Genomic DNA, 26,665 nt, shown 5'->3' on the forward strand with positions numbered 1-26,665 from the left:
AGCTCACAGACAGATAGGCCCTAATATAAAAATAAGTTACTTTTATAGTTGCTGTGTTAGTTTATTAGGGCTGCCTACCAGAGTACCACAAACTGCATGGCTCAAGCAGCAGAAATTTATTTTCTCACAGTTCTGGAGGCTGGAAGTTCAAGATCAAGGTGTAGCAGAGCTGGCTTCTTCTGAGGCCCCTCTATCGGCTCATAGATGGCTGTCTTCTCCCGGTATCTTCATGTAGTCTTCCTTCTGTGCATGGCTGTGTGTAAATTTTTTCTTCTTATGAGATCAGTTGTATTGGCTTAGGGCCCTCCCTAATTACATGACTTTAACATAGTCACCTGTTTAAAAATATCTCCAAATACAGTCACATTCTGAGGTACTAGGGTTTAAAACTTTCAACATATGAAGTTGGTTTGGGGGAAGCATAATTCTTCCCATGACAAGTGCTAAGTGTGGCAACACAAATATGCCATACACCATACTTCATAACACAAATACACCATACACCCAAAAAGAACCTAAGTACATCATATAGCATCATATACCCACAAGTATCTCTAGGTTTTGCAGCAGGCACTGGAGACATAAAGATTGATAAACTAGAGCCCCTGTCAGGAAAAGACTTAAATCAGTGGTCCGAGGAAGGACCACTTATTTAATAAGTGGCATTAGGGAAGTTATTAACACCCTGGGGAAAATGTGCAAAGGCTCAATTTATACCATATACCAAAATAAGTTCACACTTTAAAATGAGAAATGTTAAGACAAGGAAGAGGAATCAAAGGAGGAGGAAGAAGGAGAGGAGAAGAAAAGCAAGGAAAAAAAGAAGGAGTAACAAGGGAAAAGAGGAAGGTGGAGAAGAAAGAAAAAGTAGAAAACAGAAATGTGTTTTATTCGTCTTACCTATGAATGGAGTAGACATTTTGTTTGTAATTATTTAATTATTTCATTTAATAAATACTATTTGACCAACAAACACAGACCAGGTGTTCTGCTAGGCACAGAATGAACCAGGTTTTTTGATGCTTCTACACAATGGAAGGAGCCCCTTGGGTTGTGTATTATGTAAACAGAAGTTTACATTTCTTGCCTGGCATATTCAGTATTGGCCACCTCTCCCTATACCAACATCATGAGCTGTATGCAGTCAATATGTTCCCGCATAAGTTATTTTCAAAGCATAATTTTAAATCAGATCCCATTAAAAATGCAAGAAGAGGGCTTGTTGTTAAAGGAGCCCTAGGGGAACCCTGTGGTAAGAAGAAGCATCCTTATGTAAAAGCAAGACCGCTGCTCTGTGGTTCCCACACTGTGTCAAACCCGACTGTCATACCTGTGTCCTGGCTTGCAGGTTATGCCTGAGCGCTCATGTGTGTTTGCACTGTCTGTCCTTCTGCCTTGGATTGCAAACCCCTGGAGGTTGGCCCATCACATCTGTTCCCTTCATTGTGCCCAGTGTCACAATGAAGCGTTTTCAAAGAGATCCTAGTAAATGCTTTTGTGTGCTGATAATGATGCAGCAAAGGAAATTAGCAGGCAATGTCTGTGGGGCTATATTGAGGAGGTGCCCTATGTGTGTTACTTCTAAATACTAAGACTCCATATCATATCACTGCTTTGCCAACTGCAGGGAGCAAATCCCCAGGATCCTTCAGTCCTATTTGTGTTCCCAGCAACAGAGAAGAGAGGAGAAATAATTTAAGGGAATGACAGAAGAGACTGAGAGTTGGCGATTCCTTGGGACACTCCAAGAAGCTCAGTCGGAGCAGGATTGAGGTGCTTACCTCCAAATGCCTTTGAAGAAGACAGGCTTTTCTGTATGCTTCCAGATCACGGAGTGAGATTGCTGTTCTTCCCATTGGGAACGGTCTCATGTCAGTAGCACATCGCATTGCAGCTTACTCTCAGAATCAAACTATCTACCCAGAAGAAATGGATAAATCCTTGCAATTCTCTTGGGTTCAGAAAAAGATTTTAGCCAGAAGCTCCTTTTCTAGTAAGTAGTTGTATAGTGTTATTGCCCAGTAAATGAGTGGTACAATTTCTGGCTGACAATTGCTGAATTCAATCAAAATGTAGTGACCCAGAAATTGTCTTAACTCAATGCTCATAAATACAAACATTGCCCCAGAATTATACCAGTATTGGTGAATTTTCCTGAATGAAAAAGACATTATTTCTCTGGGAGAATTAAGCCATTTTAATTCTTGGACCAATTTTCTATTTAGTAGTATTTTAATCATCTTTATTTCTATCTTACTAAAATTATTTTTCATGAATATCCACTGTTTTCCATGTACATTTATTTTTGATACAGCTTTCATTCATTTTTTTTGCCCACATCAAATTAAATGAGAAAAGTTTCTGTCTTTGTAAGTTTTCTCTGGGGGCCATTATTTCCACAAAGTCTATTTTTTTTTTTTTTTTTTTTTTGAGATAGAGTCTTACTCTGTTGCCCAGGCTGGAGTGCAGTGGTGCGATCTTGGCTCACTGCAACTTATGCCTTCCGGGTTCAAGCAATTCTCCTGTCTCAGCCCCCCAAGTAGCTGGGATTACAGGCACGTGCCACCATGCTCAGCTAATTTTTGTATTTTTAGTAGAGATGAGGTTTCACGATATTGGTCGGGCTGGTCTCGAACTCCTGACTCAGGTGATCTGTCCGCCTTGGCCTCCCAAAGTGCTGGGATTACAGGCGTGAGCCACTGCACCTGGGCCAGTCTAATTTTTTAATTCGATTTTGCATTTATAAATTTTTCCAAAATGATCTTTTTCACTATCAATATTTTACCAATAATTTTTTTTACCATGTCATGCTCTAGCCTTTGATGGTTTTGTTGGGTTATTTCTCCAGAAACTACTATTTCCCTAGTTGATTTTTACATTTTTCAACTTTACCAATTTTTTTCACCTCTAATACATTTAATAATGGAAAGTTATAGCCATTCCCAATTTTCTGTTATTTTATTTCAATTAATAATACCTCATGTGAATTTGATGTAAAATAATGTATTTTTATTCATTTATGAAAGCAAATCAGAAACAGAAGGAGTCAAAATATCTGTAAAGTTAAAGTATTACAGTGTGGCAAAAACTTGCTGCTTCATTCAAATACAAACATCCCCGGAAAGGTAAGCCATTATTTAAATTTGAATATGGGAACAGTGATTTACATCATATGCTTTCCTAAGAGATGAAAATAGAAGTATTTGGCCAGGTGCGGTGGCTCACACCTGTAATCCCAGCACTTTGGGAGGCCGAGGCAGGCGGATCACGAGGTCAGGAGTTTGAAACCAGTATGGCCAACATAGGGAAACCCCGTCTCTACTAAAAAATACAAAAAATTAGCCAGACGTGGTGGTGCGCACCTGTAATCCCGGCTACTCGGGAGGCTGAGGCAGGAGAATCTGTGAACCTGGGAGGCAGAGGTTGCAGTTAGCTGAGATTGCGCCATTGCACTCCAGCCCGGGCAACAGTGTGAGACTCCATCTCAAAAAAAAAAAAAAAAAAAAAAGAATAGAAAATAGAAGTATTCATTTCCCAGCTACCTGGCACATGACCTGGTGTCCATTCGTCCCTTTCCCCTTCTTGAGGCTTTGACTCTACAGCTGGAAAAACAAAGTAGAAATGGGGGAAAAACTGTTTTGTTGTGGCATAGTTGTGGCACAAGAACGTACAGAGCCTGGAACACTTGAGGGCCTTAAAGTCATCTTAAGGGATTTGGACCTTCTCCTGGAGGAACTGGAAGCCATGTAGGCCTCTATTTGAGGATAGATGCTCAGATTTGAGATTTCAAAACATGACTCTGGTAACTGCATAGAAAAGAGATTGAAGATGGAAAGTCAGGAAACAGGCTTCTGCAGGGCTGACTCCAGACCACAGTTTTGCATCTTCCCAATCTAAGGCAGTTGATGCCAGGCTGGTATCCCGGCCTTTATGATATAACCCTTGGCAATCTTTGCATCTGCCCAGTATCCCCACCCTACTTCACCAGACTCCTCTTTGTTCTCCAAAATTTTCCATACCTCCATGCTTCCATGACCTAAGAAATTTCTTATTTCCATTATCTACCTGAGGAGCTCCTACACATTATTATTTCAAAGTTAAATAAACATTAATAACTATAATCATAATAATGAGCATTTACTGAGAATGTGCTTTACACCATTCAATGCTATTAATCTCACCAGATAACAAAACTGAGCTCTAGACAGTTTAACTAGCTTGTTCAAGGTTGCCCAACTAGTGAGCAGGGAGGCCTCTATTTCAAAAGTTCAGCTTGATGTCAGAGTTTGGATGTTCCTAATCCACACCATGCTGTTCCACCAGGAAACATCTGAGTGCTTACCATATGACATAAATTTTCACACATATTCTCATATTTAATCCCAATGGCCAGATAGTGAGGTAGGTGTCATCATTTTAATACAGAGAAAACTGAGTCTTGGTGAGTTTAAGTAACTTCCTCCAGAGCAACAGACACTACTGGTCTGTCTAACTACAAAGACATTATACTTCCCGGTAAGTGCCTGGCTCATAGATGGTTATTGACACATATTGGTCCCTTCCCTTCCACCTGCTCTGCCATGTCCATACCCAGATCATGCTGATCACCCAAAAGTGTATCTGATCTTACGACACCTTCATCCAAAACCAGCTAGTGCCTATTCCTATGGAGGATCCAGCTTACCTGTTAATGGAGGTACCCATTGCTGTACCTTCTCACCCATATCCTCTTCCCAGTGAAGCTGTTCAGCTCACAGCCCCTGCTGCTGACATCTCCATGTTTTATATTCAATGATTCTGCTCTTCCACTATAGCTGATTGGACCTAAAAGCAGACAATCAGACATCCTTTCTCGGAATGTTGAAATAAGGAATGCTAAGAACTTAAGATAATGTTAGGAATGGCAGCTTCCAAGGTAGAGTCTGGCTCAGAATAATCAGGAAGAGCCAAGGGCAAGCCAAAGATGCTTCAAGCAGAAACAAAGACGATGCGAAATCCAGGTGGTAGCAAAAGAAGAATAGAGTAGATGTGCTTATGGCTAAAGCAAACGCTGAGAGGGTAGTGGGACACTGAGGCCCATGAGGGAGAAGCGGGGAATCATTAGAGCTGCCTCACTTCCCAACAACTTCTCAGTTTCCATTCAAGTGTTTCCCTAAAGAAAACCTCCTTTTTTTCTCTGGTAATGAAGGTGACACATTGTTTCTTACCACCCAAAGAGCAAAACTTAAAAAAACAAATAGCCTCCTCCTGCCACTCAATCTTGAGGGTTTCCTGTTAAAAACCTTTGAGTCTCTAAATCCAAGACTAAGATGGGAAAAAGTCAAATGATGAGATTTAAAGCCTAATGTCCTTAAGCTAAGCCCCCACCCCAGATGCCAACCCACCCAGATCTGCTCCCACTCCCTCTGTATCCCCTCTTTGGGGTCTCCTCTGCCTGCCCCTGGAGTTCATTTCAATCACTTTGGAGCCCAGGATGGCTGGGCTATGGGAAATCTTCCCTCTGTCTAGAACTCCTGCCATTTATCTGATCTGACCTCTCCAGACATTTAAGGTCTGCAGATCAGAAATGGATTTTTGTTATTGTTCACTGCTATTACAAATACAACTCATCTTCAACACCTCTCTCCACATAAGGCCTGTTATCCTGCTTTCAGAGCAAGCCACAAGAAAGAAATGGTGTCTTGATTTACTTTTCCTGGATATTTCAAGTCCATTTTGTGCAGCAACCACACATACCACCTATTACTAATGAGATTTAAAAGGTGAAGTCCAGGGTGCTGGCTGTTTCCCAGCTAGTACGCATGCAGCTGGTACTACCCAGCCCCCTGGCAACAACCCGGAAGCCAAATTCCGGGGTACCTGAAGTCAGATCTCTAGATACCTGAAGCAAGATCCCTGGCAGCACCTAAGATGTGAGTCACATTGCAGAGGTTGAGCCTGCAGCTCTCTTTGCATGTATGTGTGCAGTCTGCAGCCCTGCCAGGCAATCACAGGAGCCACTCACAGGTGTCACACTGAATTTCAGGACTCCATGGTGTTTCCTGCCTCAGCAGCAACATCAAAGCTCAGAGCAGTAGCTGTTGTGTTGACATAGGCAGTAGAAACAGGTGGAGTACCATGACAACTTGGCCCTTGCCACTGAACCTCTACATTTATTTTCAAACCATATCCCTCAACAATCCTGTAGTCATGAAAAGCTTCGCTTGGCAAAGGTAAGAATGTGAGCACATTTGGACCCAATTCCCCTGACAAAGGGTTCCCATTCACAATTTGGAAGAAAATATTCAGTGTGGCTGTGACACCAGCCAAAATGAGAAAGCCTGGTGCTGGCAACTCACCATTTTCCAAATCGCTGTGATTCTGCCTCAGTTTGAGCTTCCTGGAAAATAAGGGAGAGGGTCATGTAGAAAGGACTACTCAGCAAAAGTGCCTTATTATCTCTTGCTGTATGGCGCTCACTGCTCTTCTCCAATGCACAGACACACTCACAGGTGTACACACGTATGCTCATATCTGGAATGTGACTGAAGCACATGCAGAATGGGCCGCCACGATGCAGCCCGAGGGGCATCTCAGAGACCTTCACTCAAAGCTGTCTCCTCCACTAGGGAGCCTCTTCTACCTCAACTTCCTATCAATTCTAGTTCCAGCTCCGCCTTGGGAGTTTAGTACTTCTGCAAGAGACTAAACTTCTCTCTGGAAAAGGTAATGCAGAAGTCCCCTAGTAGTCTCTTTGGGAATGAATTTATCAAACCTTTCGCTCATTAAGAGTACTTGGATTAAATAGCTATGCATGCCGGGCTTAATAGTTAGGTGATGAGTTGATAGGTGCAGCAAACCACCATGACACATGTTTACCTATGTAATAAACCTGCACATCCTGCACATGTACCTCAGAACTTAAAATAAAAATAAATTTTTTTAAAAAAAGAATACTTGGATTTGTGAGTGGGTGAGTGAGGAAAGGCAATGAGGAAGAGAGAAAATGAGTTCTTATTAATAATAAATTTTGTTCTTTTTTTCTATAACAAATGTATTACCTTCATAATTTGAAGAAAAATATAAATTGTATTAAAATTTGTTCAACCCATTATCCCCATAACTGTACTCGTTTTTGTCAGGTAGCTCAAATATCCCTATTTAGATAGGCTAACATATCCTTAGCCTAACATAAGGCTTGACATCTTAGGCTGGATTCCCTTGAAAATAGATCCTGGGGCAAAAGAGATCTCTCTCTCTCAAGTTTATAGGATCAAATCAGGTAATGTTGGTAAAATCACGAAGCTTAGTCCCAGATAATAGATGTCCAAGAAATGGTGGTGATAGTGGTAGCAAAGGAGGAGGTGATGTAATGATGTTTGTAGTAATCATCATGGATATAATTACCATTGAAATGTTATTGTTAGAATTTATTTTATCACGTTTTGATCAATATATGTCAGAATGTTAGATTTAAAGCAATCTATTTTACTCTCTTCAGTCATTTCCAATATAAACAACTATCTCATCTCCCCGATGTAGAGTTCTCCTAGCTCAATTTCCCTTTAGGAAAAACATCCAATACTGGAAATATTTGGTAATAATAGCAGGTTCTTGTTTCTTTTCCTCTGCATCTTGTTATGTTTGGCATGTCCCATTCTCTCATTCCCTCAGTTGGGAAGAGTTGCATCTATCTCTTATCCCAGTCCTGGGTGGTTTTGATTATGTAGCCATAAACTTAAGCCAATGAGAAGCAGGGAAATTAATCAGAGCAGCAGGAGTTGGTCTTTTCTCCAGGATGGAGCCAGTTCAGCAAATTACTAAGTCATTTTATGTAGTCATTCTATACAGACTGAGCACCTTATGTGTGCCAAGCCACACGCTGAGCACTGGGGATGGGGAAATGAGGAAGGCATGTGCAGGCCATGTAGTAGGGGTGTCATGAAGGCCTGTGTAAACAAACAGGGGTAGGGAAGAGTCTCAAAGGTGGAGAAAAGATTCAGGGCCTTTTAGGAAGGGATGCATCATTGTCATAGAAGGGTCTCACTGTGAATCAAAGAGGTCTGTCTGAATCTAGCTCCATAAGAAGAGGGGATGGCAGGATCTGATGGCATCAGATCCCAACTAATCTTCTTGAAATGCAGGGTTAAGCACTAAATTTAAGTGTACTTGAGAACTAAAATCCTTAGTCAGGCCACAGGTGATGAGGGCGAGGCAGGGAGGCCATAGTCTGGGACTTATGAGGGTAACCTGGGTGCTAAACTCATCTAAGTCTTAACTAAACTTTGGTTTGGAAATAATACACTTTATACAGACCTCCTCGTTCCATTCCTCTGCAAAGTCATGTTCTTGGTGAGTAGATTAGTTTGCAGTTGCCAGACCACCGTATTCCTTATATCTTTATGAGAGTTAACCCACTGCTAAGTATTTCTATGGTACTCCTGGCCCCATAACCTCTAAATTTATACTCTCTCTTCTTCTTTTTTTTTTTTTTGTTGTGGTTGTTGTTGTTGTTTTGTTTTGTTTTGTTTTGTTTGAGACAGAGTCTCACTCTGTCGCCCAGGGTGGAGTGCAGTGGCACGATCTCAGCTCACTGCAAGCTCCGCCTCCTGGGTTCACGCCATTCTCCTGCCTCAGCCTCCTGCGTAGCTGGTACTACAGGTGCCCACCACCACACCCGGCTAATTTTTTTTTTTTTTATTTCTGGTAGAGATGCACTTTCTCTTCTTATTCTCCTGACATCCATGATTCTGGAGGAAGTACATTGTCAGGGGAAAATATTGGCATCCATTTCGGTTAGGAATGATTTTCCTTCAATCAAGAAGTTCAGAGGTTGGCATCCAGGGCTGCCAAGGCTGTTCTATGTCTTATCAAGAACTCAAGCCCCCTCCATCATTCTCTGTTATTCTGAGTGGAGTAATGCAAACACTTCATGATGATTAGGCTGTAAAAACTGCCTGTCACTGCTTAATAATGCTTGCTTCATTTTACACTACTCCTGAAATATCAGCAATGAGAGACTAATTTTTGCCAATCTCCCTAGAAATGCATACCCTCCCTGTGAAAGTAAAGCAGAAAATAGTAGTTTACTCCTTAATACAAATTGATTTCAAAAGATCATTCCTGTCTGGTAAAATGTTGGATTTTTCAATGGCACAGGAAGGAATATAGGACCATTTGGGGATGGAGAGCACTAGGGAAATTAGGTGTGTTAGAGAAGAGAGTATTTGTATGGATACGAAGATGGACAAGCCTCTGTTAACTGCAGTGTGGAGGAGAGAGTGCTGGATAGCTGGGATACTACCTCATTCTTATGGAACCATTTTTCTTCTAGTGCCTTGAAGATTGCCATAGTACATCAGGATTCAACATTTCTAACGACACAATCAGCATCCTGAATATTTGCTTTTCTGTATATATCTAATCATTACAAACACAAAAAATTAATACTGTATGAGTCGAGGTAATGCTATCCAAACTCAAAATATATGAAAACTCAAATCCCATAAACATTTCTCCTTCAAGGGTAGTTCTCAACAGGTAATCGTGATTGGTGATGGCTTTCTTCCACAGGATCATTCAGGGGCCCAGGTTCCTTCCATCTCATCGCTTCCCTACCTTCAATATGTGGCTTTCAAAGTCACTGTACTTGCTTCCACAAGTCAGAGGCAGGAGGAAAGAGCATGGAAGATCGCACATGGGAGGTTTTAAAGAGTAAGGCTTGGGGGTGGCTCATCTTACTGCCCCTCACATCCCATTGGCTAGAACTCCATCAAATGGCCATACTTAGCTGCCAGTGAGACTAGGAAGTGTAGCCTGGCTCATGGTGTTGATAAAGAGGAAATGGGTTTGGTGAAGATTATTCCATCTCTGTCACAAATACCTTCTGCTTTCCAAGCACGAGACCATTCCTTTAAAAAGAGCAGCTAACACAAACATGGCCTCCCCTCAGGGAGCCTGAAGTATAGAGAAGAATAAAGAAGTTCAATCAATAATCACAAACACATGTACAAATACATATTCAAACAATACAATTCAAACAATGCAATTGCAAATGTGATGGGAAGATAGAGTGTGAGAAGAAAATGTAATGAGTATTATGACATAGATTATAAGGGGCTAAGATGTATAGGAATAAGTTAGAATTAACTAAGTTGAGCATTAAGGTGAGCATTCCAAAGTAGAGTGATATCGTATATCAGGATTATTTGTTCCATTTATTCATCTACCAAGTTAGGTGCCCACATTGTGCTAAGTATTCTTCCAGTCTCCATGGAAGATTCCAAAATGCAGAGCACAAACTCCTGCTGTCTACTGGGAATACTTTGTGGAATTTATTCTGATTCATCAGGAACAAGTGCACACAAACTCACAAATAATCTTACATATTTGAGATGATTTCAAGTGTGGAAAAGGACAATTATACCACTGAGTGGTTTTCCTCCATCCATTTATTAAGCAAACGATTGAGCCCTTAGTCAGGATATTGGTTTCATCCTCTTAAAGACCAGGCATACCCAACTGGAGCACAGATTGAAAATTTGAATATATGCCATACACACAGACCCTTCTAAGGAAATCACACCAAGTAGATTAATGTGAGTGACATATCTGTGACATCCAGAGTTCCACTCTGTTGCCCACCCCAAACTGCTTCAGATCAGGGATCAGAGCATGTGCTCATAGGCTCTAAGTTAACATGGCATAAAACTGCCCAATTGTTTTATGTTTATAACATTAGTAATTTTAATAGCAATTGTAGTAGTAATATAGTAAAAATTTGATGTCAAACTTATCCAATCAGATTCCCACTCTTAGTATGACAGTTAGATTGCTTTTTTTTAGAATAAAATTCAGAGACTGTTGACTATTTACAAAAATGGAAACTTTGTCTATAGTAAGGCCTCCTACATTGTTCTAGATGGGTAGGACTTTAAAAAAAAAAAAAGAGTTCTGCACACAAAGTAATAGGAATTTTGCAGTTGTGATCTGATAAAACATGTCTGTAAGTAGGACCTGAATGTAAATACAGTGAGTGAGGACTTCCCGTGGGTAGAGAGGCTGGCAGTTTTTGAGACGTCTAGTAACCTAGTTTACATTTTAGGTTGGTTCCTGTTCTCTGCTATAATCCCTGTAGTCAACCTTAAATTTTTAGTAAGAGTCTACTACATATACATAGCTGCCTTCCATCAGTGATGCTTTGAATGAAGAAAACTCCTGTCAATAAATAGGACAGAGTGGGGAGAGGCAGGGGGGACGTCCCAAGAGGCCTAAGTGTGAACTGGTTGATCAAGAATCCAAAATTTATACAAGAAACTATAGGAGATCATAGTCACCTATGCCATGAATCCCCTTAAGTCTTCAAGAGGGCACTGGACTGCCCACTGTAGATAGGATAGGAGGTCCAAGCCACTTTATCTGGTGATTGAATTAAAAAGTGGCCTATAGAAGACCAATGCATGTCAGGCCATTGAGGTCAACTTCATAGGCACCCTGTGAAGTCCGATCCTGCTAACAGCAAAGCTGCATGTTTTCAGACAGTCATGAAGAGGAAATACTGATGACTTGGTTTAGTAGTAACACTTAAGCTCCCCCAGCAACCAAACAAGCAGTCAGAAATACAATGCTGCCTCTACTCTCCTTCTCATCTTCTTGTTCCCAAATGTGTATGTTGTCAGATGGGTGCAGGTTGTTGTTCCACTTTTTATTTCTGGAAGAAAATGAAGAATTGCTTCTTGAAATGCAGCCAGAAAGCTTTTCTGTAATTACCAAGAAACCAGTCAATTTTATTGACAATCCAACTGATAACATATGGTCCAATACTGTTTGTTTGGTGTTTTTTTGTGTTTTTGTTTGATTTTTTGGTTATTTTCGTTTTTGTCTTTTGAGTGTTTTTTGTTTATTTGTTTTTGTGGGTTTTTATCTTTTTTTGTTTGTTTTGTTTTTTCTCTCTGAACCCAGCACAGTTTGGAGTGATATCTTAATTTATTATTATGAAAGGGACAGCAACTGGTTTTTAATGGCTACAGAATGGTGACTTGCAACCTTGGCCCAGCTGCTGTCACTGCCGTGCCGCGAGCAGACTTGTAGCATCTTTTCTCAGGGACACATCAGTGCTCCTGCCTGCTGCCTCCCTCCCTCCCAGTGGACAGGCCACCACCTGCTGCTGGCACAGCGCCGGCCCTTCAGGGAACAAATGTTCTCTTGCTGCTGGGCTATAGGACAGGACAGACGCTGGATTTCAAGAGAACCAGGGAAAGGCACCCTCGGGCCGGCAGCCCCTACTCTTCCACCCATCTGCCTTCCCTGCCAAGCAGAGATCTCACTCATGGGGGCTGTAGGAGAGTAGGTGTTTTGACCAGACTGTGGTCAAGATTGGTCTGTCTCCTTTTCTACACCAGTCTTGCTCAAGGCTATAGTGGGCATTTATTTATTCAGGCCATAAGTATTTATTGAGCCTCTGTTATGTGCCAGGCAATTTGCTAAGTGCTAGGAGTATAGACCTCATCCTCTGCCCTTGAGAAAGTCACTGTTTAGTGGGGTGGACAAGACACACCAATCGATAAATTATGATACAACACTCAGAGTGTAATAACAGAGTGAAAAACAAAATGCACAGAGAAGGAGCATCCAAGTATCACCCAGGTATGAAACATGTGGGCTTTGGAGACTGTTAGTTAGCCTCTGTAGAAATCTCATCTTTGCCTCTTGCCACCTGTTTGACCTTGGACAATTTACTTAAGGTCTGTAAGTCCCACTGACCCATCATTAAAGGGTTATGTGAGATAATGCGATGAAGTACTTTAACACGGCACATAGGAAAGACTCAATACACGTGGGCCACTACTAACAAACGCAATTTGTATTCAAATGCCTCCCCCAGAGATGCAGAGCATCAGCCATTGCACCCAGGCAAGGGTTCTAGAAGCCTAGAAAGGATGGAGAAATAAGGTCAGTTAGTGGGCAACAGAGCTTAGAGCCAAAGAAGGCACCAAACATCTGTGTCCAGGGGCAAAGCTGGAGTACAAGACCAAGTTAAAAAAAAAATCGACCCGGACTGTCAGACAGGAAGGGCCAATTAGAGAAGAAGAAAATAAATCCAGGGTGATGACAGAAATCGGAGATATTGGGCAAAATTAATTCCAAAAAGAGAACACAAGCAGAGGTGAAAACTTGGAGAAACAGAGACTTGAGAAGACAAAAAATTCTTCTCAGAGGAGGTGGTGTTTGATCTCAATCACAGAAGATGACTAGAAGCTTGCCAGGAAGGGAGTTTAGGAAAAGGCAATTTTTGAAGTGGGAACAGCATGAGCAAAGGCACAGGGATGTTCCGGGGAAGAGCAACAGTGTCTTAGTGGCTGGAGTGTGTGGAGTAAAGAGGAAGGAGGGGAGGCTGGAACATGGCAGGAGCCAAGACATAGTGGACTCTGTGTGCCAGGCTAGGGGATCTAGTCTTGACCTGTAGGCCAGTGTGGCATATCAGAGTCACCTGTCAAGCTCTTACAAGGCACCAATGCTCAGGCTACACTGCCCAAGAGTCTGAGTTTAACTCGTCTGAGTTAAAGCCAGCCACGGGTAGTTTTTAAATCTCCCCAGGTGATTCTAATGTGTAGTCAAGTTTGCAAGCCACTGCTGTAGGCAATCAGACATCAATGAAGATTCTACTTATATGCCCAGAATGCTGTGAAGCTAAGAAAAGATAATTCATTTAATTTCAGCAAACATTATTAAGACCCACTCATTGCCAGGCCCTGTGCTAAGCCTTGTAAATATGGAGATGAGAAGACAGGGTCCACTGCTCTCTGTTTAGCTCTTTAGAGTTTATGAATCACGTTCACCTTCACTGCCTAATCCTCCCTGGGAATGGAAAAGGAATGTGGTTGCAGTCCTTCAGGGGAAGCGGTATACATAATCAACTCAGTCATTGTGGGGCCTACCCTGAGGTCTGGCACTGGGCTGTAGCGGAGAAAATGAATTGAGCAATTTTTTATAGAAAAAAATCAATAGCATCAGAACAGGCAGCCACATCAGCAGCTGGGGCTGGCGGGAGGGGAAAGGCAAAGGGGGAGGAAAAAGGGGGCTATCGGAGAAAACAAGGACACTTCATGTAAAGAAGAAATAGAGGTGTTGTGGAAGGAGGAAGGAAAAAGGGCCAAGTGGAGTGGGTTAGGGGACTGAGGTGGTGGTTTCTGAGAGAATTTGGAGAAAACCATTAGATCCCTTGAGTCTTAATCCCCCTCCACTACTCAGAGCCCTGAATGTGGAGATAGGTATGCAAGAAGTTATGAGAGGGAAATTGACACCTAGCAAGTTCCTGTCACTGTGCTAGGTGTGTCACATACATTAATGTAATGTAATCCTCACTAATAAATAAGTTTACAAATGAGAAAAACAGACATCCTAAAGGCCACTAGGCTACCCAGCTTATGTGAGACAGAGTTATTTATCCTTTTTTTAGGCTTAGAGAGAAACATATTGGGGAGTAGCTTTGTCAAAGAGGCACTCCAAAAATAGTTATTTTTCCAACCTCAGACCACGTGTAACACTAGTACAAGGCTCAGGGTGGGATGGAACCTCAGAGAGCATCTGCTGTGGATATGAGTGAACCCTGAACTGGGACCTAGCTCCAGACGAACCTTCACCCTTGTCAAAACACAATCATTCAGGTTACTTGAGGCAGATGAGAGAGACGGAAAAATTCCACCATGTAACCACAGAGAGCATTTTTTTAGGAATCCTCAGGCACAACCTCCTGTGAGGGGAGCCCCATGGAGGGACTATGGCCTTCCCCACTGGAGTTGGGGGGGCCTGCAGGGTGGGGAATGAGCTCACAACCACACACTGGGGAGAGAAACAGGCCTTGTGAGAAAGCCTTGCTGGGGAGCAGCAGGGACAATCGCTGGTCACTCTGTGCCATTAAACTGCAGGACTGGGTCTCCTGTGATTGCTTTAGACATACACCCAACTCAGACAAGGTCAAGCAGAGCGGAAATTTATTGGAAGGTTACTGTGTTATCTCACACAGGTAGGAGTGTTTGCTGTGGTTTGAATGTTGTTCCCCATTCCCTTCAAATTCATAGTTGAAATTATAACCTCCAAGGGGATACTATCAGGGAGGTGAAGCTTTTGGGAGATGATTAGATCATGAGGGCCCTTACGAATGGGGTGAGCACCCTTAATAAAAGGCCTTGCCCCTTCCACCATGTGAAGACACAGCGAAAAGTTGCCATCTATGAACCAAGAAGAGAGCCCTCATCAGACGCTAAATCCGCCAGTACCTTGATCTTGGACTTCTCAGCCTCTAGAACTGTGAGAAATAAATTTCTGTGGTCTGTGAGCCTCCCAGTCTAAGATATTTCGTTAGTTGACTGAACAGATTAAGATAATATTGAACAACCAAATTTCAGGAAAGGATGGTTGTAGTTGGGCCTCAGAGCAATTGAAATCTGGGTCATGAATCATAAAGACTAGTCCTATCACTTTTCTACACTTCTCTGATGGTTTCCTTGGCCATCACTGCAGACTACCTTCTGCTGCAAGGTGGGATACGTGGCCACCAACAACTCCTGAGCTTCATATTGCAGATTCGACCTCCAGAGGACGAAGTTTATTTCTTCTATTACAGCTTGAAAAATCCCAGAGAAGGCATCTATGAAGGATTCTGTTTGGTTTAGCTTGGGGTGGTGCCTACCTTGCACCAATCATTAGCACCTAGAGGAGCAAGGCTATGTTTAACAACATGGCAACTCCAACTATATCTATATGAATGGAGGAAGGAGGGAAGGTTCACAACATGTATTAATCCCATGCAAAAACAATGTGCAACACTGAGAGATGAATAAGACATGGTCCTAGTCCTCAAGGTGCTCACAATAGCAATGTGGCAAATCTTCATGCCCCTTTCCTAACTGGACAAACAGTAGAGTATATTTCCCAGCCCACATGTGGTTAGGAATGGTCATGTGACTGATGTGTGACCAATGGCATGTGTGAATCATTTCCAGACCTGTTCCATTTTAATGTGCTTCTCTTCCATGTGCTTCTCCCTTTCCAGCTGAATGGAATGGAGACAACACCCAGGTAACATAGAAGAGCCATGTGTTTAAGATTGCAGAACCACAGATGGAAGGAGCCTGACTCTCTGAATCACTGCACAGAAGACAGAAGAGACTCACGAACCACAAGCATGCGCACCAGGCTCTTATACTAGCAAGAAAAAGAATTTTATAGTGTTAAGCATTAAGATTTCAAGGCTTACTTACTACAGCTGCTAGGTCTGCCTTCATTAATATAGTTAGTAAACATTGCATTAACTGGAATTAACTACTTTGAGTTCCAGCTCTATGACAAACTTGCTGAATGACTTGGAGAAAATTACTTTACTTCTCTGAGTCTCCCCATTAACTGTACCTACATTGCAGGATTTTTCACTAATGAATAGAGATAATGCACGTGAATGAATGTGAATGCTAAATTATAATACTTCACAGTTTCAGGGTAGAATATTAGAAACTTGTCTCTGCCTTCCCATTTCTCAAGTATGTCAAGATATAATTTTAGTGACTTAGAAAGCTTTCAAGTATCTCATTGAAAGTCTCCTATTTAATAAATGAAGCAATGTAGGTTATAAAAATGTAGTTTTTCCCATAGAACTCAATAAAGTTATTTTCACTTTAATTTTTTTAAATAAATGGCACTTAAACATTTTTTATATCCTGCATTAGCATTAGATGAAAAATAGCTTGCTCACCACTGATATTATCAAGCTTCATTAACATCTTGAAGAAATCAAGGCTGAATTAGGGGAAATTTTACAACTTTGCCCTTAGTAATTGGCAGATAGCCTTAAACCTGCAATTTCTGACTCCAAGTTAGCATGCCTCCCCATTCTCTGTAGTTCTTCTCAGCCAGGGTACTCATAGCTGCCACAGCCACTACATAGATTCACATAAAGCTATGGTTATGGGCTCATTCTCAGTTGATCCTTCTCTCTACCTTCACCAGAGGGCTTTGAGTGGAGATTCATGTACCCTGTTATATCAATAATTTCACACTGTGTTCCTCTCAACTCCCTAGGGGCCATTTGTGTTTGAGTTGTTTGTTTGTTTGTTTGTTTGATTGATTTGGATTTCTGTTTTTTGGTTTGTTTTTGTTTGTTTTTGAGATGGGGGTTTCACTGTGTCACCCAGGCTGGAGTGCAGTGGTGTGATCTTGGCTCACTGCAACCTCCCCCTCCCAAGCTCAAGTCATCTTCCCACCTCAGCTTCCCAAGTAGGTGAAACCACAGGCACAGCACGTGCCACCACGCCCAGATAATTTTTTTGTATTTTTGGTAGAGACAGGGTTTCACCATGTTGCCCAGGCTAGTATTGAACTCCTGAGCTCAGATGATCTACCCGTCTTGGCCTCCCAAAGTGCTGGGATTACAGGTGTGAGCCAACACACCCAGCCTGTGTTTGAGTTTTGAGTTTCACCACTAGTTTAACTAGAGCAGCACTGACTTTATCTACTTTACATATTGAACTCCTGGATAAGATTTCCTTTGAACAAAAAGTTTCCTAATTAAAAAGATTTTTTTGAAAGCCAATGAACCAGAAAACTGAACTTCGAGGTCACAATGTGATGGCAAAGGAGACAAGAAATTCATTTTCTAATTCCAAGTCTGATACTAACTCATATGACTTTAAGCAAGTATTTCTCTTTAAAGCTTCAGTTTCCTTTCTATAAAATGGAAAGTTAAACAACAGGAGAGCTTACATCCACAGGGCAAGGCAGCTTAGGGTATGTATTTGGCATTGGAGGTGGAGGCAGGGGAGGTGGGAGGTGACTAACTATGAGAGGAAGAGTAAAACCCCAGATAAAGAGGTTTTAACTTTATTGAAAGTACTCATTGAGCTACAGCTACGTGCCAAGTATTCTACAAAGCATTTGAGAATAAAACATGGAACCAAACAGAGAGCATGTATACAGTACCAGATCTGACAGTGAGGGGTGTCAATCACAAGAACCAGAGGCTGTCAGTCAGAAAGGGGATAGCACCAGGAGAAGAACAAAAGGTTCTTTGTTTGAAGTTTTTTTTCTTTTCCCAAAAAACATTCAATCATGGTCTCCTTTACAGAATCCTAACTCCCTCTCCCACCCTTTCAGCCAAGTCTTCTGAATCAGTTCCCTTAATTATTCATTACGTATTCATTTGTCATTTATATAGCATATATTTAGTGAATTCCTCCTATATACAGCATCCTGTACCAGGCGCTGAGGATTGGAGATGGGTTAAATTTGATACCAGCCCTCAGGATGCTCATGATCTATTGTGAAGACTTGTAAAACACTTGCAATGCAAGGAGGGACACAGGAGTGAGGGTGGAGGAATCACCAGTGGTCCTTCTCCATTCCTTAGGGGACGTCAGATTCCTTTACCCCTCCCCTACCTCTCTGCACCTCACCTACGCCTTTTGGATGCACTCCCTTTTGCTGAATCAACAAGATTAGGCACAGACATCTGCACTGAGGAAATAATAAGGGCACCAGAAGGTCACTGCAAATAGAAGGCAGTTATGTTGTTTCATGATTTAAAGTACTGAATGGTACATTTATTTCCATTAACTGCAATGAGATGGTGTTCACGTGGGTGATAACAGTAGGATTTTCACGACATCATTTTAGCCTATCTGGTTATACAAACTTCTAGGTTTCCTGAGTATCGAATCTTCCTGAAGCATTGAAGAATAAAGGATATTCTGTACTTTATCTTCCTTTACTGTCCTTCACCTGATCTTTTTTTAGTTATAGACAAAGTCATCCTTATTTTTTAATCTTTCAGGTAAGAAATATTTACTGAGCCCTAGTGCATTCCAGCCACTGTGTATTTTACAGACATATAAATGAAAAAAGAAATGGTCCCTGATCTCAAAGACCTAACAGTCTCATGAGAAAAACAACAAAGATGATTAAGTTCAATGTGATTAGTGCTATATTAGAAGCAAAAGTAGTGATAATGAGAATTCCAAGAGAGGACCATACCACCAGATGGGAGGTTCTATAAAAGCTTGCTAGGAAAGAAAGCTTATCTGAGTCAGGAGTAAAGATTCATGGCTAGTCAAGTAAATGGAGGTTGGAAAGGTGTCCAGGCAGATGGGAGTTTGGGCAGTTTTTCCTCCTGAAGCTACTGCCCCAGTGAACTATCCAAATTAGATGTGCTAATAATGTTCAGGAATTCAACATGCCACATGGACTTGTGAGTCAGAGAGATTTTACTCTCCTTTTTTGGTCTGTGTCTTCACCTACTCAGGCATGATTGTAAAGTTGAAATGAGAAAATAAAGTGGATGATGTGCTCCCTACAGTCTCCGGCATCAGTCTGTTCTCGTAAATGATGTTGGGGGTAAGGGGAGGATGCATAAGGGTAGGTGAAGTGTGTGGATCGGAGAGGAGTGCCTTGGGCATATCTTTGTAGGACTTAACTTATCTAATATAATGAAGTGTCTATCTCCCATTTGTTCTCCGAGATCCATTCCCAACCCCTCATCACCAGCTCTGTGCCCTTGGAGCCTGACCTGTTTGGACTTTACCAAAGGGCTCCCTCTCTGATTTCCAGTTGAGTCAAGCAATGGAGGGCACTGCAGGAGACCAGAGAGAAGGAAAGTGAGGTCAATCTTGCTCCTTTGCATTCATCTCAGGCTGCTGCATCCTTGGCATAAGGGCGCATCTCCTGCCAGATGGTCTTCTCCATAACATGTTCTGTCTCTAGATTCTGTTAACTGTTCCCTCCCATTGTGTCTCACACACAAGGTTAAAAATAGGGAGCTGTTGTTGGCCCAAGGGCATTGCACTATCCTTGAGGTTTCCATACAACATCCCTATACCTTTATAATGAATCCTTCAATTTTTCTTTAATCACCCAGTTTGAGTCTGCATTCCTTCTGGAATTTTAACAGACACATATTCTGTAAGCCCTGCAAAGAGATTCCAAATAAATCTGTGGACACTGGAATTAATAAAGGGGTGAATGTATTTCCTCTAGGCTAGCATTTACATTGTTAGGAGCATACCCAGAAGCTAAACCAGCTGAGGAGGAGGCTCTCCTTCCTATGTCCTCTTCCCATTAAGCTGAGCAAATTGAGAACAGTGCCCAAATTTTATTAATCTTTCAATCTGTACCCTCAACATCTAGCTCAAAAACTGGGATACAGAATCTATGTTCAATATGTGTGTGTTGACTGGGTTTCCACTCATTGAGCTACAGCTATGTGCCAAGCATTGTGCAAAGCATTTGCAAATATAACATGGAACCAGATAGGATGTGTATAGTACAGTGAGGGGTGTCAATCACAAAAAAAACAAGAGGCTGTCCGTCAGAAAGGGGATAGCACCAGGAGAAGAACAAAAGTTTCTTTGTTTGAAGTTTTTCTTTTTTCCTCAAAACTCAATCATGGTCTTCTTTACAGAATCCTAACTCCCTCTCCCACCCTTTCAGCCAAGTCTTCTGAATTGGTGGTAGAGGAAGAATCAAGTCATTCCCTTACTTATTCATTCACTCATTCATTTGTCATTTATATAGCATATACTTACTGAACTCCTCCTACATCCAGCATCTTGTACGAGGCACTGAGGATAGGAGATGAGTTAAATTTGATACCAGCCCTCAGGATGCTCATGGTCTATCGGGAAGACTTGTAAAGCACTTGCAATGCAAGGAGGGACACAGGAGTGAGGATGGAGGAATCACCAGTGGTCTTTCTCCATTCCTCAGCAGACATCAGATTGAATGGGTTTCCAATCCAGTATACTGGAAAAGATGAGGGAAATATAAATGTAATGGCACATCTGTATTTGCTGCCCTCTCCACACTCACACACATGCATACACACTAACGCCATAATTATGACGTTTTATAAAACATTCCAAAATTCATTTACTTGGTCATTCCAATCTTGTTTAAAATAACATACCTCTGGCAGTCTACAGGAAGAAATTCTTCTTCACCTTGTGGGATCAGGACCCAAAACTACCCCATACTGGAGATGCGATGGAAACCCTGTTATTAAATCAAGGGCCTCAGTGCCAGATGGAAGCTTGGAGGCCTTGCGCATGGCTCAGCCCTGCAAGCTGCTGGCTGCTCTTCTGGACACTGTCAAGGGCAGGAGATCCTCTTCCTTGGGCTGCAGAGCCCTCTATGGTTGTTCAGCCCTTACTGATGGGATGGGCTCCCTCGAGCTAACTCAAAATCTGCCTCCCTGTAACTTCTGTCTCTAAGAAGCAAACATTCTCTTGACTGATACTGCAGGGCCCCAAGATAACTGCTTTGAACAAACTTCCTGACTTTAAATATTGGTAGAGTAAGCCATGGCCTAAGAGGTGTGATTTGGAGAGGACCAGGAGGATTGTGTGTCTGAGAGGACCTTCTCTGTCCCTCAATCCCATCTCCCACCACCTATGAAGACTTCAGTTTTAATCACAGCTAGGGGTGCAGACTTGCACTTAGGGAGGCCCCTTAGAAACAGACATAGCTCATTGTAAATTTCTCTAAGGGAAGAACTGTGTCTTCCATGTGTTTTGTTTTATGACCAGACATTGAGAGTAAATTGCTGAGAGACTAGAGGAGTGTCAGATGAGGCAGAATCTCACAGGAGGAGGAGGTCCTCCCATGGACACCATGAAAAAAGAAGGTATCTGGAAATAAGGAACAGCATTTGCAGAAGCCCAGAGGAGGGGAAAGACTCCAGCTTATTCAGACACCACAGTTTTAGGTGAGAGTGTGGAGGGCCTGCAGGAAGAGGTAAGCCATGGGCTGGAGTGGAAGCAGAGCCAACTCTGCCACTGCCCCGGAGCTATGACCTTGGGCAAGTCACTTTACCACTCTCTGAAATGAGAAAGATTGGGGGAGCTATCTCGTTTCTAAAGGCCTTCCTGTTCCATAAATCAACCATTCTAAAAATGCCTCACATTTCTGTAGCTCTTCACAGATCATAAAGTACATTACCTCATTTCATTCTGCAGCACTGAAGGCAAAACTTGGCGGAATTCAGAGTTGACCTTACTCTTTTCTGATGACTTTTCAACACAAATGCAAAACTCAGGGCATCCCCATGTTTTTGCCTCTGAACCAACCCCTCAAGTAACCTAGCACCCCCTTTGCTCAGTACACACAGACACACACACACAACACACACACACAGACACACACACACATACACACACACACAACACACACAGACACACACACATACATACACACACACAGAGTTTCTTAAGGACAAAATAATTTGTTTTTAAAAGAGTTCTTATATTTAAATTTCAAAAAGTGTCCTGCTGCCCCTCCCCTACCCCAACCCTAATTAAAATGTTAAAACAGTCAAGGTCACTTCTAGTGCCTGGAGGGTAGGCAAGTCAAACTCCTAACCGTGGAAGCCCTGAGTGGTTTGGGAATTCAGTAACATTCCTTATTACAGAGTCTAAATCCTGGGTATTAAGAAAGGGATTTCTAATAGGGATAGATGAGGAGAATGGGATCAGGGAGCACTTAGCTTCCTCAATCTAGGGTTTAAAATTGTATAATTAATCCGAATGGGACTTAATAAGTGAGACTATATCGTCATGGGAGATGCTGGAAAGTTACTATTAGTGTAGATCTGACCAACAGAGAGATCTAGAACAAGTTAACTAACTTCTCTGGGTCTGTTTTCTTATCTATAAAATTAGGGACTCGATTAAACAACCAATGAAATAGCTTTCCATTTATTATTTCTTCATTTATTCAATGCACATTAACTAATAAACTACCTTGTGTCAGACATTGTGAAAGGCACTGATACAGAACCAAAAAAATGTTAATTAAAATTAACTGTGTGTGTGTGGGGGGGGTGCATATGCACATGTATGTGTGCATGAGCACACATGAGAGAGAGACCACTCCATGTCCTCAGAGCTCACATTTTGGTTGGCAAGATAGATAGTGCGAAGAAATAAAGGCAGTAAAAAATCCTTTTGTGCAATGATAATCACCGATACAAAGAAAGCACAAAGGAAAGAATGCTTCCTGGTGAAAGAATCAGGGAATCTTTAGAGACTGAGTGATGCTTAAGCTGGATCTAAAGGTGAATAAGACAGAGGGAGGCATTCCATCAACAGGAAGGAGAGCAAATGAAGATAGGCTTAGGGAAAAAGAATGAATTTGTAATGCTTAGAAGCCAGAGTGATGAGAAAGGGTAGAGGTAGCAAGAGATGCAAGCAGGAGCCCGACCATGAAGAGCCAAGTCAGCCCGGCTAACATGATGAAGAATCACTCAATGTTGTAAACAAGGGAGCCACATGATCAGCTCTACATTCAGTAAATGTCACTCTGGTTGCCATAGGGAGTATAGACTGGAGCAGGGAAAAACAGGGGACAGGACCTCACTGAGGAAATGAAAATCACCCCATTATACTAGGGGAGATAGAGTCTGAACTAAGGCAGCATCCTTAGTTGCCTGGAGATGAAGAGGAAGAGGAATGTGTAAATTTAGTAGCTTTTCAGGGACTGCTATGTGTGATTCATTTATTCAGCAATCATTTACATGGTTTTTTACTATGTGCCAGGCACTGTTCTAAGCACTTAGAAATATTAACTCATTTAATCACTACACTACACCTATGAAGCTGGAACTTCTATAATCCCCATACGGTGGATGAGATAAATGACACACAGAGAGGTTAAGTGCCATAGCCAGTGAACACGTAGTCTCCACCTCGGGTCTATGCTATTAACCACTAACACTATGCAGCCAAGAGTGAGTCCCAAATTTCTTGCAGAGTTGCCTGTTGTATGGATGGACATGTCATTTACTTCTTGAAAGGAAAGAGTCAAGTTTCTCTGGGAGCTGTAAATCAAGGCACCTGTGACATCATGGTGGAAAAGCCCAGCAGGAATTGGTCAATTGAGTATGGAGCAGAGGAAATAGTTTTGGGCTGGAGATCTAGATTTGGAAGTCATCAGTGTACAGATAGCAACTGTCACCAAGGGGGTGCCTAGACTGCCCACCGCTGTCACTGGTGTAGTCCATGTGAAATGGCAGGATGGTATTCTTCATGTTTCACCCCTGGTCCTGACTGCATGTCAGGAGCTGCTCCTAGGGTATGTGTGTCATTGTGTTAGTTGTGAACTAGCTCTTGTCAAAGAATATGGCTATTTTCATTCAGTCACCATGTTTGAAGGATTATAGAAATACTTTGAAATATACAAAAATAATAAGCAATTGAGCTGCTGACAGGAAATAAGACTTTGATAGAGAAACTATAGAAAGGAACTAAGGCAGATACAACCTCTATCAAGCTTTGATTTCATGAAGTCCTGCTTAGTAATCCTACTTTTTAATATTTTAGAACCTAAAGGTAATAATTGGTACAAAACATTGGAACTGTAATTTGGTCACGCTGGTTCTGTATTTACATTTCTTTCATTAAAAATTTAGTCAAAATGAATAACTGAAGAAAGAGAGGAGCTTAAAAACTTTTGCAACTATGAGTTAAAGATTGGAAACTGGTCTACTGAATAATGACTACACTCATTTAAAAACTATGGTGTTTTGTTTTATTTTTGGAGCTCAAAAACATCTGACAGGATTTCATGGAAAGCAAAGATAAGGCTCACTGGCTGCAGGCAAGCCACCTCATTCACATGCAGCTCAGTTACTCTTTGGTCAAAACCAATAAACTTGTTAAGTTTTTATTATGTGCTAGGCATTGGGCTGTATGTGTTCTATCCATTGACTCATTAAAATCTCACAACTGCCAGGCAAGGGCAAAATTATTGCCTTCATTTTAAGAATGAGAAAGCCACATTTCAGGGAGGGGAATTCACCTGCCTAAACTCATTCAGTGAATAAATGACAAAACTGAGAACCCCACCAACTGTACCAAGTCCACACTCAGTTTGGGCAGTAATCAAAGTATCTGGAACTCCAGAGCCCAGCCATTTCCTCAATGCCAATATTATTTCCCTTGCTCTCTGGAAGGCCTGCCAAGTATTCTTCCACTGCTCAATTTTATCCATCCTTCTTGACAACATCTCAGGTCTCACCTCCCCACCGACTCCAGCCCAGACTGACATCATTTTTTGCCCTTTCCTGGCTTGGCTGCACCACACACACTGGTATTTGGGGCTATGGACTTCCTATGGTTAAGTGCTGCTTTCTTCGCAACATTGTAAGCCTTTTTCAATCTACTCTTAAAACCCCCTGAAATGTAGGTCTCACTCAAGTTATTTAATAAATTTTGCCAAATTAACTGAAAAGAGATTGCTGAGAGTCTCTGATGGAGCCCGCCATACACAGCACCCATCTTGTTGTCTTGAGTCCTGAACAAATTGGGAAATAAGAAAAAGAGAAGCAGATGAAGGTCAAAAAATCAACTTTAATGACTGTACTGATAGATTGGAGGAGGACACCAGCATGAGAACCAAAATGCAAACACCAAAATCAAGAACCCAGCAATTTAGGCTCAGTTATAGCCAGGGTGGGGGTGAGGGGCCTGGTCAGATAGCACACACAGCATGACTTAGCAGAGTGGAAATTAGCTGCAGGAAAGTGGTCCTGCTCCTTCCCAAGAGGAAAAAAAAAAAAACAGATCATCCCCAGTTATTCTTGCCTCATGTTTTCATCAAGTCTTGCCACCTCTCCTGGGACACAGCAATTCCATATGAAAGGAGACTAAGAATGTTCATAGGGTAAGGTAAAGGGGAAAAGTGGGCCCTTCTAGAACAAAGCGCTGGGTAGTTCACCAATTTTTCATTCTATTCTATGTTTATTGAGTGTATATGAATGAAGAATAACAGTATCCTCTACAAAACTTCTGAGAGTACCTGAAAAATATTAAAGGCTCAATCATTATAATCATAATTGTAATTGTAACAAAAATATATTGAGCACTTACTATACACTAGGAATTAGACTGTTTTGATTCCTTATAACTACCATATTTGACACTATTAGTACTCCCATTATACAGATGAGAATAACCAAAATTAAATAACATTTCCAAGCTCTCACATGAACTAAACAGCACAGTCAAAATTCACATTCAATTTTTCTACCTCTATAAGCTCTTAGTGATGACAGCACATAAGTAGCCATTCCCATTTCTGCCTACAAGATAAATAATTCCAAGTCATATAGCATTTACTTATAATGCTCATGTATATAGCACATTGACTCTTGTAAAATATGGTTCCCAGAAGCTGATAACCTTTTATTCTTAACTTCTACTAAAGTGATGATCAATGTCAACAGCAAATATACATGCATGTGGAATAGTGGCTATCATTACATCATGGTAAGTGGTATATACTTGGAGTCCAAAAACCCAGGCTTAAAAGGCAGTTCAGACATTTACTGGCCATGACAGGCTATTTTGAAGAAATTACTTAACATCTCATATCTATTTTTTAATGGGATAATAAAATTTAGCCCATGATACTGTCATGAGGACTAAATTGAATGGTCTATTTAAAGTGCATAGCACAAATTCTGGCACATAGTAAATATGTTAGAAAGTATTGCTAAGAGGAAGGCAAAGGGCAAGAGAGAATGAAGGAGAAGAGGAAGGGCCATCCAATCTCTACCTTGGCAGTGTTTTCACTGGCTAAGAATTGAGTGAAGAAAAGGGGGAGGAAGGAGGAAGGAAGTAGAAGCTACAGCAGGAAGGCATATATG

At 41.6% G+C, this 26,665-nt stretch overlaps 1 long non-coding RNA gene across 1 annotated transcript in view; it reads right to left on the reverse strand.

Moving 5' to 3' along the window:
* Positions 1 to 2,984: 2,984 nt before the first annotated feature.
* Positions 2,985 to 26,665, reverse strand: part of LOC101926964 (uncharacterized) — a 165,954-nt gene continuing 142,273 nt past the window's right edge. The window contains exons 5-6 of the long non-coding RNA NR_110628.1: positions 6,339 to 6,379; positions 2,985 to 4,824 (exon numbers count right to left, since the gene is read on the reverse strand). This is a non-coding gene — a long non-coding RNA (uncharacterized LOC101926964). The remainder of the gene's footprint in view (positions 4,825 to 6,338; positions 6,380 to 26,665) is intronic.

The sequence above is a fragment of the Homo sapiens genome, chromosome 1 (genome assembly GCF_000001405.40).
Source record: "Homo sapiens chromosome 1, GRCh38.p14 Primary Assembly".
Taxonomy (NCBI): domain Eukaryota; kingdom Metazoa; phylum Chordata; class Mammalia; order Primates; family Hominidae; genus Homo; species Homo sapiens.